General features: G+C 34.8%; 1 protein-coding gene and 1 pseudogene across 2 annotated transcripts in view; both read left to right on the top strand.

Moving 5' to 3' along the window:
• Window positions 1-14,168, top strand: part of EYS (eyes shut homolog) — a 1,987,247-nt gene that overhangs the window by 1,074,786 nt on the left and 898,293 nt on the right. For both annotated transcript variants that reach the window (NM_001142800.2, NM_001292009.2), the window contains exon 23: window positions 6,196-6,320. In NM_001142800.2, the coding sequence (NP_001136272.1) occupies window positions 6,196-6,320 (125 nt within the window). The remainder of the gene's footprint in view (window positions 1-6,195; window positions 6,321-14,168) is intronic.
• HNRNPDP2 (heterogeneous nuclear ribonucleoprotein D pseudogene 2) lies at window positions 759-1,236 on the top strand (annotated as a pseudogene).

Here is a 14,168-nt window from a genome sequence, read left to right as displayed (position 1 = left end):
ACAGGTAAATAAAATTAAGCAGAAGTAATATCCGAGGTGTGTAGATTTCTAACTGGAGGCTTCCTATTCATGATTAAGTATGATCAGTTACTAATAGAGTACTATTCACAGAGATATATACTTTAATTTTTTGCATATCTTAAGAAAATAAGTTATATGTAGTTGTGGTCACTAATTATTAAAAAAGAAGATAAATCACGGAAAAGAACTGTGGTGATTCTGAAATTGTATGAAGTCATTTACATATCTGATACTTTTCAACTATTCTAACTTGAGAAATCTTGGCTTCAGTGAAGTTTATAAATAAACACTCAGCTTCTGAGCATTTAGAGTTAATATTTTAAAGTTGATGCTTTGCAGATATAAAAAGTCATAACATCGTTCCTTCCTTGACAATTATTAAACTACATCCTATCAATTATATTATCAAAGCCCAGCAAATGGGATATTAGAAATTATAAATGTAATATAAATAGAATATAAATTTAATTGTTTTTTAATGTAAATATTTCAAAGGCAAATAAGAATTTAGTGAATGTATGTAACTTGAATTAAGTCTCATTTAAATTAAAATATTATCCATCTCAAAAAATAAAAAAAGGTTTCTGAATAGAATAGATTGTGGGGGATGAAAATTCAGTTTTTGTACCCTTCTTATTCTTTCTTACTTCGGTTGTATGATACCAGACACATTTGTTAATAAACAAATAAAGCAATTCTGGAGAATTGCTTTGTTATGTGCCTCATAATTTATCTTAATAAATGAACCAAGTGCTGTTTTTGGAGTGGTAAAATCTATAAAACTCCCATGGAAAAGACCAACAAGGAGACATGGGCTCTGCATTATCGTTAACGAACAGAAACAAGTGAAGAAAATAATGGAAAATAAATACTACTATGATGGGCTTAATAAATGTGAAATAAAAGCAGCTGTATCAAAGGAACAGTATCAGCAACAATAGTGAGGGCCTAAAGGAGGATTTTCAGGAAGGTCTTGGGTAATAAGTGGTAACTAGCAGAATGATTATGGGAAAGTATCTAGGCCAGGTGGTTATCCAAACAGCTGCAAACCATACAAAATGATTTCATTTACTTCTTATCTGCAACAACAGGTTGTAAGACAGTACTTTCCAATTTGAAGAATCATTTGAGAGTGGCTCCTGTCACCTGTTAATAGCAGTTAAACTAACTCTTTTGTATCAATTAGCTAAATGGAGGCATGATGTTGGGTCCCTCTAATGTTAAGTTCTGAGTTCTCATTTTTAACAGTTGCTTTCATTGTTATATTTTTAGTTGCTATGCTGCAAAATCAACTTGTCTTTTATGCCCCTTCTCCTAGTATTGCAGAGCAATTCTTATGTTAAAAGCCTGGTGTGACAGTGTCATTATGTAGTAGTGTTTAACAGTTTTTAGTAAATCCTTTTGTATAAACAAGTTGGGTAAGTAATTTCAATCCGTCAGACATTCTATTAAAATGCTTATAAAGTGAATAAATACGTATGGGATAAAACTGCTTATAATACCAATATAAGTAGCACAATTTCCCCATGTTATAAATTTTTACAGATCATTGTGTAAATATTTTTGTGAAACATGGGGTTATAAATTGTTATGCACTTCTATTTTATAAGTGTTTTCAAAATCTTTCCTCCATTCAAGCTAAGAATGTAAACATCACATAACCTTGAAGGAACAAAGAGTAAAAGTTTAACATTAAAAGTTTAAAATTGAAATCATGGGCCCTTTGCAAATAACAAGAAGATGACTGCATTAACACACTCTGAAATTAGCAAGTGGAGTTCATTCCAGGAAAGCAAACCTTAGCATTCATAAAACATTCAGTATAGTTCACTATTTTAACACTTGATCAAGAAAAATACACATGACTGTATCAATCATTATCATATCATGTATCATTTAATCAATATGATTATATATCAACAGATGAATAAGTAAAACCATATAATGATCTTAATGGATGCACAAAAATCACTTGACAAAACTTAATTTCCACTCATAAAAACTGTCAAAAACACTAAGAATAGGCCAGGTGTGGTGGCTTATGCCTGTAATCCCAGCACTTTGGGAGTCCGAGGCAGGTGGATCACGAGGTCAGGAGATCGAGACCATCCTGGCCAACATGGTGAAATCCCGTCTCTATTAAAAATACAAAATAAAATAGCTGGGCGTGGTGGTGTGTGCCTCTAGTCCCAGCTACTCGGGAAGCTGAGGGAGGGGAATCACTTGAACCTGGGTGGCGGAGTTTGCAGTGAGCCGAGATCGTGCCACTGCACTCCAGCCTGGCAACAGAGAGAGACTCCATCTCAAAAACAAAAATAAAAACAAAAAACAAAAAAAATCTCAGAATAAAAGGTAAACTCCTTAACCTAATAAAGGCTACATTTTAAAAACTTATAGCTAACATCATTCTTAATGATGAAAACTAAACCCTTTCTCCTTCAGATTTGATACAGGCAAACATTTCCTCTCACAACACTGCTATTTAATATCCTACTAGAAGTCCTACTGAGTGCAATAAGACAGGGAAAAGAAATAAAAGGTATGTAGATTGAACAGGAAGAAACAGAACGGTCTTTATCTACAGATGCAATCATTATCTTTGTAGAAGATAATTTTCTCTATAGAAAACCCTCTACTATTTTTGAAAAAAGCTCTTGGACCTAATAAGCTAGTGTAACAAGGTTTGCAGGATATAAGATCATCATACTGAAGTCAATTGCTTTCTAGTAATGAACACTGGAATATCGGAAAGAAGAAACACAAAACAAAACAAATATACCACTTAGAACAGTAAACAAAAATGAAGCATTTAGGTATAAATCTAATAAAATATTTATAATATCTCTGTGTAGAAAACTATAAAATATCGGTGAAAGAAATCAAAGATATGTGTCACTGGAGACATATTTCTTAACATAAATTGAAAAACTCAGTATTGTTAAGATATTGTTTCTTACAACTTGACTTTTATAGATTCAAAGCCATTTCACTCAAAATTCCAGAAAAGATTTTAAAAATATATATAAAGAAATTATTTCAAATTATTTATATAGGCACTTCTCCTTTAAAGAGGTGTGCATGACTTCTCATCTCTTAAGCGTGGGATGTGCAAAGCAACTTCCCTCTAAAGAGTAATGTTAATATAATGTGATGAGAGCCTTTTCTATGATGTCTTTCTCTCAGAAACATATAACACCAGTGTAACCATGGGAATAATATTAAACCTAAATTGAGGTATAGTTTACAAAATACTTGACCAATGCCCTTCAAAACAGTCGAAGTCATCAAAAACAAGGAAGTATGAGAAAATATTACAGTCTAAAGGAGCCTAAGGAGATATGCAACTAAATGGAATGTGGTATTCTGAATAGGATTCTTGAACAGAAACAAAAGACATTAGATAAAAGCTAAAGAAACTGCAATAATACATAGACTTCAGTTAATAATAATGTAGTAATATTGTGTCACTAGTTGTGACAAACATACCATGTGAATGTACGATGTTAACAATAAAGGAAACTGGATACATAGTCTATGAGAACATTCTGTGCTACCCTTGCAACTTTTTTGTTATCCTTAAAATTATCGCAAAATACAAATTATATTAAAAATTTTTTAAACTATCCCCTTTAAAAAATCTTTATTAGGTAAGTAGTTTTTTTCCTTTGCAATGAAAATTAAAATAAATGTTAATATTGTTCATAGGTAAGAACGCAGACAAATGGACATTTTAGATAACTCTGCCAAGAATATAAATTGATAATGTGACTGGGCAACATAGCATGACCCATTTTGTGTAATGGACACAGAGAAAATGTCCATTTTATATAATGAACACACAAAAATTAGGCAGGTGTGATGGTGCACACCACCTGTAGTCCTATGTGGGAGGCTGAGGTGTGAGGATTACTTTGAGTTTTATATTACAGTGAGCTATAATCGGGCCACTGCATTGCACTCCAGCCTGGGTAGCAGAGAAAGAACCTGTCTCAAAAATAAATAAAATAAATATATTGATAATGCATTTTTGAAGAACAATTTATGATATTCAAGGAAAGACAATGAACACTTCGATTATTGACAAAATCAGACCTGAGTTTATTTTGCATAGAAGTTTATTTTGCATATAAGAGTAAACCACTAGTGATGAATTCCTCTCAAAAAAAAAAAAAACACTGCTATGGGTTTCTTTTTGCTACAAAGATGGGGAGGTTGACTGTGGCAGTGGGAATTCAATACTGAAGATGTCATCTTCACAGTACAAAATCAGACCATCCATAAATCCACACACAGTTAAAACAAGTCTTTGTTTGTTTGTTTGTTTGTTTGTTTTTGTTTTTGAGACGGAGTCTCGCACTGTCGCCCGGGCTGGAGTGCAGTGGCGTGATCTGGGCTCACTGCAAGCTCCGCCTCCCTGGTTCACGCCATTCTCCTGCCTCAGCCTCCTGAGTAGCTGGGACTACAGAAGCCCGCCACCACGCCCGGCTAATTTTTTGTATTTTTTAGTAGAGATTGGGTTTCACCGTGTTCGCCAGGATGGTCTCGATCTCCTGACCTCATGATCCACCCGCCTCGGTCTCCCAAAATGCTGGGATTACAGGCGTGAGCCACCGCCCCCGGCCCTAAAGCAAGTCTTATTGTTTGTTGGTCAAGAAAGTCTTCAGCTAGGTAAGGATCTAGCACAGTGGAGTTACTAACATTCTGGACGGTCTAAAATTCATCGTTACCTAGCTTCAGCCGGGCAGACCCAGTTGCAGTGAAAAACAGAACTTAATTTTTGTATCACCTAAGTAACTGTGTATGCAAGTAAAGCACAGTGGCTAAATTTGGCTAGCTGATAAGTACAGACCAATAAATTCTACTTTTGCAAATTTGCTTGTCTTGTGACTTTGGTAAAGTTATATATTGTGAATAAGTTTTCAGTAAATATGTGGTAAAACTTATGATCCAATACTGTATAATGATCTAATTTCTATTTATTTAATTTATCCTTTTTCATCAGCATCACCCCAGACTGTGCTCTCCCACATTATATTTCAGCCTTCAAAACTACTTGCAATTTCTGGATTAACTCACACTCTTTTCTTATTCTTGCCCTTGCGTATACTCTGCCATGATAAAAATACATTTATCTATATGCTGATTATAGCATTTATCATATAATTGTGTCGGCTACTTGTCTATTTTCCCAACTGGGCTCAGTGCTTCTTGAAGGCAGACACAGAGTTTTACTTACGTTTGTATTCTTAGCATTCATAAAATACCTGCATGTTGTAGGCACTCGACAAATCTGTATCTATAGCTATGGACATTGCACTTTAATCAATATTGTGGATCCTCCATCAGTTCTTGAAGCATGGTTTAACAGCTGACATCTAAATGGTTTTTATTAAAGCGTCCCTAAAAATTAAGAGGAAGTACAATAGTCTCTGACCTATTGACTCTTTCCATATCTATTCTTCCAATTATGGAGCATACCTTTCATGACATGCCCCCAATTTCTCCATTTTAAGAGTCTCCCAGAGACCTCTGTTTTATTTCTTTTCAAACAGTTCACTTGGATTTAAGCAGATACATGCAATAACATAATCTCTGTATTAGTTTCCTAGGAATGACATAATAAATTACCACAAACTCGTTAGCTTAAGATAACAGAAATTTATTTGTTCATAGTTGTGGAGACCAGAAGTCCAACTAAAGTGTCAGCAAGGCCATGTTCCCTCTGAAAACTCTAGGAAAAAATCTTATCTTTCCTCTTCCAGCTTCTAGAGGCTCTGGGTGTTCCTTGACTTAGGGCTGCATAATGTTAATCTTTATGTGCATGTTCACGTGGCCTTCTCCCCTGTGGGTCTCTGTCTTCTGTGCTTGTAAGAACACTTGTCACTGGATTTAGAGCCCACCGAGTTAATCCAGAATGACCTCATCTCAAGATACTTAATTAAATCTGCAGAGACTCTATTTCCAAATAAATTCACATTCACAGATATTTAGTGTTAAGTATTAGACATACTGTTTTGGGGCCACAATTCAACTCATTGTCACCCCAAGGAAGGCTCCCAGCTACATGTTGTTGGAGCTCTGAAAACACGTTTGAATGATGGAATCCCAAGATGAAAAGTGATAGTGCTCATGTGTATAATATATACAAATATCGTTTTCATTTTTTTTCCTTAGATGTCTTCCTGGATTTTCTGGTCAATTTTGTGAAATTAATATAAATGAATGCTCTTCATCACCATGTCTACATGGTGCAGACTGTGAAGATCACATCAATGGATATGTTTGCAAATGCCAACCAGGTAATTATTTTAAAAATAATAAGCATACTGCATATATAATAATATATACGTTTATGTAAATGTATATGGACATGTATGTATAATACAATTTTGACAATCCACTCCACCAATACTATTGTTGACTACTAATCAAGTTTTAAGCAATGATCATTCTTTAAAAACATGAAATGAATGTTGTATGATACTAGAAAGCAAGCACTTAGGCTTTCATCAGGAAATCTTAATGTTTAGAGTGTAATACCTTATTGATGGATTTTCTAAACATATGTAAGCCTCATACTTCTGATCTTTGTATCAATTATGCCTGGCACACAGCAAGTACTTTATCAATGTTAGCTCTTATTAGTATTGACATTATTATTTCTTCCCACAATTGTCAGCACAGAGATGGACGAGCTGAATAAACTTGTTTTCTTCAAGGAATAATTGCTGCTATTGTCTAAATATTTGTGTCTCCCTGAAATTCATGTGTTGAACCCTAATCAACAATACGATAGTATAGTATTAAGAGGTGGGACTTTGGAAGATGATTAGGTCATGAGAGTAAAGCCCTTGCGAATGGGATTAGCACTTTTATAAAGTAGACCCTAGAGAGCTAGCTGGCCCTTCCACAATGTGAGGACACAGCCAGAAGGCAACATCTAAGAACCAAGAAGCAGGCTCTCCACAGACACAGGATCTGTCATCAACTTGTTCTTGTACCCTGCAGCTTCCAGAACTGTGAGAAATAAATTTCTGTTTTCTGTAAGCTATCCAGTTTATGGTATTTTTGTTATAGCAGTCTTGAATGGATTAAGAAAACTGCTCATTAAAAATTGGTCTTTTTGGCCATCTCTACCTTTGATCATATTCCTTTTAGGTCTATATTGATATAAGTGATTGTTGATCATGCATTTTTTTCCTTCTTTTTTCTTTAGTTCTCTAACTTCAGATTTTTGCTCTTTTCCTACATCTTCTGCCACTCATCTTATTTTCAACATTCAGTTAACCCAAAACGGATGTTCAATGCCTAAATTTCCTTGAGCAGCAGTAATTTCTCAGGAATATATGTAGGGGATATTTCTGGTCACTTAAAAAAAGTTATTGAGCCAGTCATGATAGTAGCATGCCTATAGTTCCAACTATATTGAGGCGAGAGGATTACTTGAGCCCAGGAGATGGAGGCTGATACATGCTTTGATTGTATCTGTGGATAGCCACTGAACTCCAGCTTGGGAAACATAGCAGGACTTGATCTCTTAGAAAAAAAATAGTCCCTATTTACCTACCTCACAGAAGACTTCAGAAAGCCTATGGAAACCCTAGGGTTCTGGGCTTCTGGTTATTGGGCCCACCACGGAAATAATAGCCATGAGAGTATTAGGACTAATATGATTTATGTGAAGTCATACAAACTAGTGAATACCTATCAACTGAGTGTCACCCACATACTATTTAGAAGTTAAACATCACTCAGAGACCTACTCTGTTTTTTGAACATTCATTACTAGTACTAGGTTTTATTTGGTCACGTAGAACATCTGGAGAACTTTGTACTTCCCTTTTGAAATAGCCAGCCGTACATAAAATGGGAACTCTTGCAGGTAACATAAGTAGAATAAAATTACAGTTTTCTTATATAAGAAATGAATACCATTTCAAACATTTTGCCTCTTTCAAGCAAAAAATATCTTTATTGTGCCCACAAACACTTCATACTCTATGGTAGCTAGCATAAACAATAAATTCTACAGAAACAGTTAAGTAAAATACCCATATAAATTTTGTTTATCATAACAATAGGTATCTTGTAACTACTAGATTCATTTTCTGTTTCATGTTAATAAACATCTTACAGGTGCTAGATTAGTTTTGTTGCTGTAGGTTGATTCCACTACTCTGGATTCACTTGTAAGCATGAGGACATTTTTAAGCTGTTGAATTGTTCAGGCTGCTTTTCAGATCACTATTGGGAAGCAGAAGATCTCAAAATGATACCACCTGTATTGCTAGGCGTTATTCAAAATCTGCTGATACCTTTGACTTTAGAGTTACTTACACTCTTCACAACTTAGTCATGGGAGTGAAAACTAAGTGACAAATGAAAAAGTCAAATTTTTGGAAAATGCTATTGACACGTCCCCAACACTCCTGTCTCTGCTCCAGCCATAGCTCTTAATCATGCCAATCCATCCTCCCTTTAAAGTTATTTAAGGAATAATCTTGCTCCTGCAGATTACTCTTCATCCCTTTCTCATTTTCTTAATGGGCATAGTTTGCCACGGTTTCAGGGTATTTTTATTCCCACAGTAAAATTAACTCTCTTGTGTACAATTTTATAGCTTTGGTAAATGCATAAAGTTGTGTAACCACCCTCACAGTAAGGCAATTAACCACCATCCTCCAAAATTTTCTCATGCTGTCCCTTTGTAATTAACTCTTTACCCCCAAAAGGAACTGATTTTGATAGAATACTAATTTTTCTCTATAATTTTTATTGAAAATTCTACCTTTTTTCAGCACCTCTGTCTCGTGTATATGAATTTTATATTTCGAAGATCAAATGTGTGAGTTCTTTGGCATGTATGTGCTTAGAAAATAATAATAATATCAGTATTACTGCATAGACACCATGTTATTTTAGATGTATTAACTAATTAAGTTTTCATAGCATCGAGAAAAGGGCATCTCATTTTACCTAATTTTTCTAATAAGGAAACAGAGTCCCAGAACCACTGGGTAATGTCCCACAACATGTTAGTGGCAAAGCTAAGATTCACACCTAAGAAGTCTGCACTGACACTTGTGCATTCATCATTTCTCATATTCCCCCAAAATGTTATCTTGGTGAAGAGAAACTCCTCATAAAGTTTCAGTCATGCAAGATGAATACATTCTAGAGATCTGTACAATATCATGCCTATAGTTAATAGTAATGTATTACACAGTTAAACGTGTTAAATGGTGAGAGCTCATGTTAAATGTGCTTACTACAGTAAAAAATTGAATTGACCAATCATTAAAAAACAAAGGCCTTCCCCAATAAAATCAATCAGTGTGGTTCAGCTTAGTCTAGATGTTAGCAATTCTAAACACTGTGAGAATTCTCAGGAAGTCTCCTACCCAATCTGTTTTTCTCTTTAAAAGATTCCATTAGAAAAATATAAAACTTTTCACTCTTCTGAGTAATTCACAGCAATTTGCTTTCTCCTAAATGCCATAGAAAAACACAAAGACTGATTCATTTCATTTACACATGTCCACTTCTCTGTCATTGATTTTTAAAAAGCCTCAAATAATTTTGAAAATTTTTTCCTAGGCTTTGATCTCAGTCATGCCATTATCTTATCTTACACAGCTCCAGGTAGAAAACTACACAAGTATTCCTCTGTCTTTAAATTGGCTAAACACTATAAATCATTGCCATTTTCTTCAGTTGTGGAAATCTTTCTTACATTCATATTATGTTGCTAATTATCAAAATACTCTTGTCTTTATCTAACAACAACTCCATGGTTGTCATCCTGGGTAACTCCACCTCTATGCCAAAAGGTTTTATCTCTTTTCTCCCTTCCCTCTTCATTTTAGTACAAACAGAGCTGTGTGAATCCTGCAACATTCTGAACAGAGCACAGTTTGAAAAACTAAATACTGTTTTCCCCACCAGACAGTCTGCAAAACACACTGAAATTTAACCTGGATATAAGTGGGTTAGAAGACATTGTAAATGTTGTTTATTTTTGTATCACCAAATCCTAGTAGAGAGTTTGTATCATAATCAGTCCTTGGGGAGTGTTCAGCACATATTGAAAAAGTACAATTCATTTATGATGGCCAATGTTGTCCAGTCATGACAGGGCCATGGTAAGCATAAAGCCCTCCACCATCTCTAGGCAGAAAAATTATATAAATATGCCACTTCCTCCAAGCCAACAAGGTATAAGACTTGACAAGTGGAGCTCAGGTTAGATTTCAGACCTCACTCATCCTCTTTGCATGAATTCTTTGTGCAAGAAACATCCTGAACATCATTTAGGACAGTCCTAATCACAGAGTTCATCCTGTACCTATATAGGGAATTAAATGGGTTTTTGAGCTCATTTCCAATGAAGTATCAATATAGGTATTCAGATGTTTTTTATAGAAATAGAAACACACTTAGTGTGTTTTTAGCCGAAATAGTACCATGTATAGTGTTATCTAACAATGTAGAACACCCAGTAAGTGATCAGAGCTATCCCATGAAGAGCAAATTGAAAGTGATAGGGAACAGTTTGTGTACCACAAATTCACTCAGAGTTGTTCTCAATCCCTGGGACAGTCACTGTGCCCAGATACTTTTTATACCCAGCAGGGGTGCAATGGTGTTATATTGCTGGTGATGCAAACTTCAAATGCATGTTTTGCCCTTAAAGTAGTATTGTTCATTTTGTAGCAGAAATGCTGCACTATCCTTGGGGCAAGAAAACAGAGAAACAAACATAGATAATATCTGCCACCAGTAGCCACAATTATTGTCGATGATGAGGTGGCTGCATTTAGAACAAAAGAGATACAGAATAATCTTTTTTTAAATCAAGATCCATGAAAAGTAAAGAAATCCTTATTATGAGATAAAAGAGTGTATACTATTGTATTTTCATGAGGGTGTACATGTAAAATTTTTTTACATATTCTAGAGTTAGACTAAGAAGAGAAAATAATTTTATGTTATCCAATTACTAAATAATGTATTAACTAGTTAGACAAAATTATTTTAGGTTTAGGTTTATTTTTATTTTATATTCATAACATCAGATAGAAATCACTATGGGCAGAGAGGGAAAATGAAATGAAAATAAAATATATAAATCTTAGAAGTAGTGACATTTATTTTCATTCATAAACTCAAAGTATTATAACTTATGTTATAGAATGGTAATATTAAAACTGGTCAATATTTCTAGCTGAATATATCAATGTATTTAAAGATTTGGTTTAGTCTTCAACTTAAGATCACTCTAGTTTTAGGCTGGGTGGGTTGGCTCCCTTGAGCCCAGGAGTTTAAGGTTGCAGTGAACTGTGATCATGCCACTACACTCCAGCCTGGGTGACAGAGCAAGATTGTCTTTAAAAAAAAATTAGTAAAAATTTACTCCAATTTTATTGCAATGTGTCACCTAAAGTTGTCTTTATTTTGCACCACAATTATTTTAAATCATTTATTCCTTATGCACTTACTTACTTTATATTATGTGTCAGACATTAGGTTAATACTATTAGTTTAACACCATAATAATTTGATTACTTTTCCTAGATTGCTAATGACAATTTTTGGTTTTTGTTTTCAGTTACCAAACTATTTTCTGAATATTTGGTTACCTTATTAAGAATGAACATAAAACCTACATAAGATTCAAAAGAAAATATATTTCATTTCTGAACATTAAAAAATCCAATAAATATTTATTTGCCTGATTTATGTTTTCTTATTCTGGTCTCATTTCTTACCCATTACCTTGTCCCACACCAGAATAAGCACCTATTCATCTTACGTGTTTCTTCATACTAATGGGTATGATTGACACTCAGTATCCACTCCCATGTAGTGTGGTTTCCTGTACTGCAGAGGCAAGAGTATTGAAAACTACAACTTCCAGAATCCTTCAAAACTGGAGTTGCAAATATAATTGAGTTCCACCAGTAAGAAACATACCTAAAATCTGAAGGCTCTGATGGAGACCATTTCTGGGTGTCTTAGCAGATTCTTCTGGTAAAAAAAAGTCATGGAGCTATGTGGATCTTTGCAGCAGATCTCACTGTAGAGTCACTATTTCAGTGCGTAGGTGCATTGAAACGGCAGCTGCCTGGTGGTCAACCTTCCTTGGATTAGCACAATGGGCTCTTGAACTCAAAAATCCTAAGAGTGCTTTTATATTTCTCATCTTCCTGATCCTGACTGAGGGGACATCTTCCAGAAAGTCATACCTGTGGTTCTTGGTGTTACTCCTACAGCTTTCCTTCCTTCTGATAATTTTGTAAGCATCTAATTCCATTATTCAGGTCCGTTTTGCTTAAATAACTAGAGTGATTTCTGTTTCTTGTAATGAATCTTGACTAATTTATTTTCTATCCTTGTTTGTTGTCTTTGACCAACACAGCCTTAATGTTTTTCTCAGTTTGACTAGGCTTTAGACAGACTTCTTCCTGACTATAGGGCCTGATCTCCCTTTTCGTAGAGCATTTACTTTAGAAAACTTGTAGTTGTAAATTATTTCTCTGTCTCTTTGAGATGTAAATCTTCTCTCAGGCTGTTTCCCAAGGACCTGGGAGTCATTCCTTCAAAAATGTAATCCTGTACTCCGGGGGCTGAGGTGAGAGGATTGCTTGAACCCAGGAGGTTGAGGCTGCAGTGATGTGTGATCATACCCCTGCACTCCAGCCTGGGCACCAGTGCAAGACCCTGTCTCAAAAACAAAACAAAACAAAACAGCAAAAACAACAACAATGAAAGACAAAACAAAACAAATGTAACCCTGGAACGAGACAAATAGTGCCCCTATTTCCCAGTCTCTTTGGGAGAGTAGAAGCCTAACTTCAGTAAGAGACAGCAAGTACAGGTGGCCTATTGAAATTGACCAAATTCCCACCCACCCAAACATCCCCCTGGTACTTTTCTGTTAGCTCACCTGGCCTTTAAAAATGTTCCTGCTCCCATTTATTTTAGTGGGGTTGAGTACAAGCTCTCTACTCTATTGTAAAAATCTGTCTCCTATGCAGTACTCTTGAATGAAGTCTTCTTTGTCTGTATAACTGGCCCAGTGCAATTTTTCTTTTACACTTCCCATCTTATGGTTTAAAGCTTTATCATGTTCTTCACAGTATGAGAAGCAAAGGAAAACTATGTCATTTTAATTGCTTAAATTATATTTTGAAATATTCGATCAGAAGAGGATACAATATATAAAAAATACAAAATACACTGTAATAAATGTGTATAACTACCATGTGTTCTGAGAAATAGAATATTAGCAATAATTCTCGCCACCTCTATATCCCTCCAGGGACATCCCACTCCCTGAAGTAACTATTCTGAATTTTATATCAGCATTCCTTTAGTATTTGTTAGAGTTTTATTATATATGTATGCATCTCTAAGCAATGTTACTAAGTTTCATATGCATTCGAATTTTATAAGAGCATTTATCAGGGTGTATTTTTATGCAATATGTTTTTATGCTCAATAATATGTTTGTGAGACTCAACTATGTTTGTGAGACTCAACAAAGTCATATTGGCTTTTTATAAACCCTGTGAAGATGTTTTTTTCCATATCACCTTTTACAGCCTCTTCAGTAGAGATCTCTGCAGAATCAGCCCAGCACATGAAAGAGCATTGCAAAGTGGAAAGAGTCTTGGATGAAGATTTGATAAATTTAGTCTCTTGGCCGCTATTTCTAAGTTTGATGTGGACATTGCCATGTCTTTTAGACTCAGGCCCTATTTGTTTCTTATAATGAAGTGTTTCAATAAATCATTTCTAAGTACCTCAAAATATGTATTTAATTGTTTTGTTACAATTTATCAGGGAAGAACAATCAGAATATCTTCCTAAGTATAAACAATAATTAAATTTTACATTTCCCAACAGCCAGGGTTCAGATTAAATGCTATTGGACAATACATAGAAAAATAAAGAAAAGTTAAAAAGTTGTGATTAGAGTAAGCATAGTCAGTGAGCAGTGAGAGCTGCCTGTAAAGACCCATTGTCCCTATGTGGAAGGGTATACTTAGGTTAACATGATGTTGTGGCTAGCATGTTAGGCATATTAAGATTCATTAGAAGTAATTATCTGATGGGAAAGAATCAATGGTTTCAAAAAAATGTTC

This window comes from Homo sapiens, chromosome 6 (assembly GCF_000001405.40).
Source record: "Homo sapiens chromosome 6, GRCh38.p14 Primary Assembly".
Taxonomy (NCBI): Eukaryota; Metazoa; Chordata; class Mammalia; order Primates; family Hominidae; genus Homo; species Homo sapiens.
The sequence above is the reverse complement of the archived record's forward strand: the minus strand, read 5'-3'. Positions and strand labels throughout refer to the sequence as shown.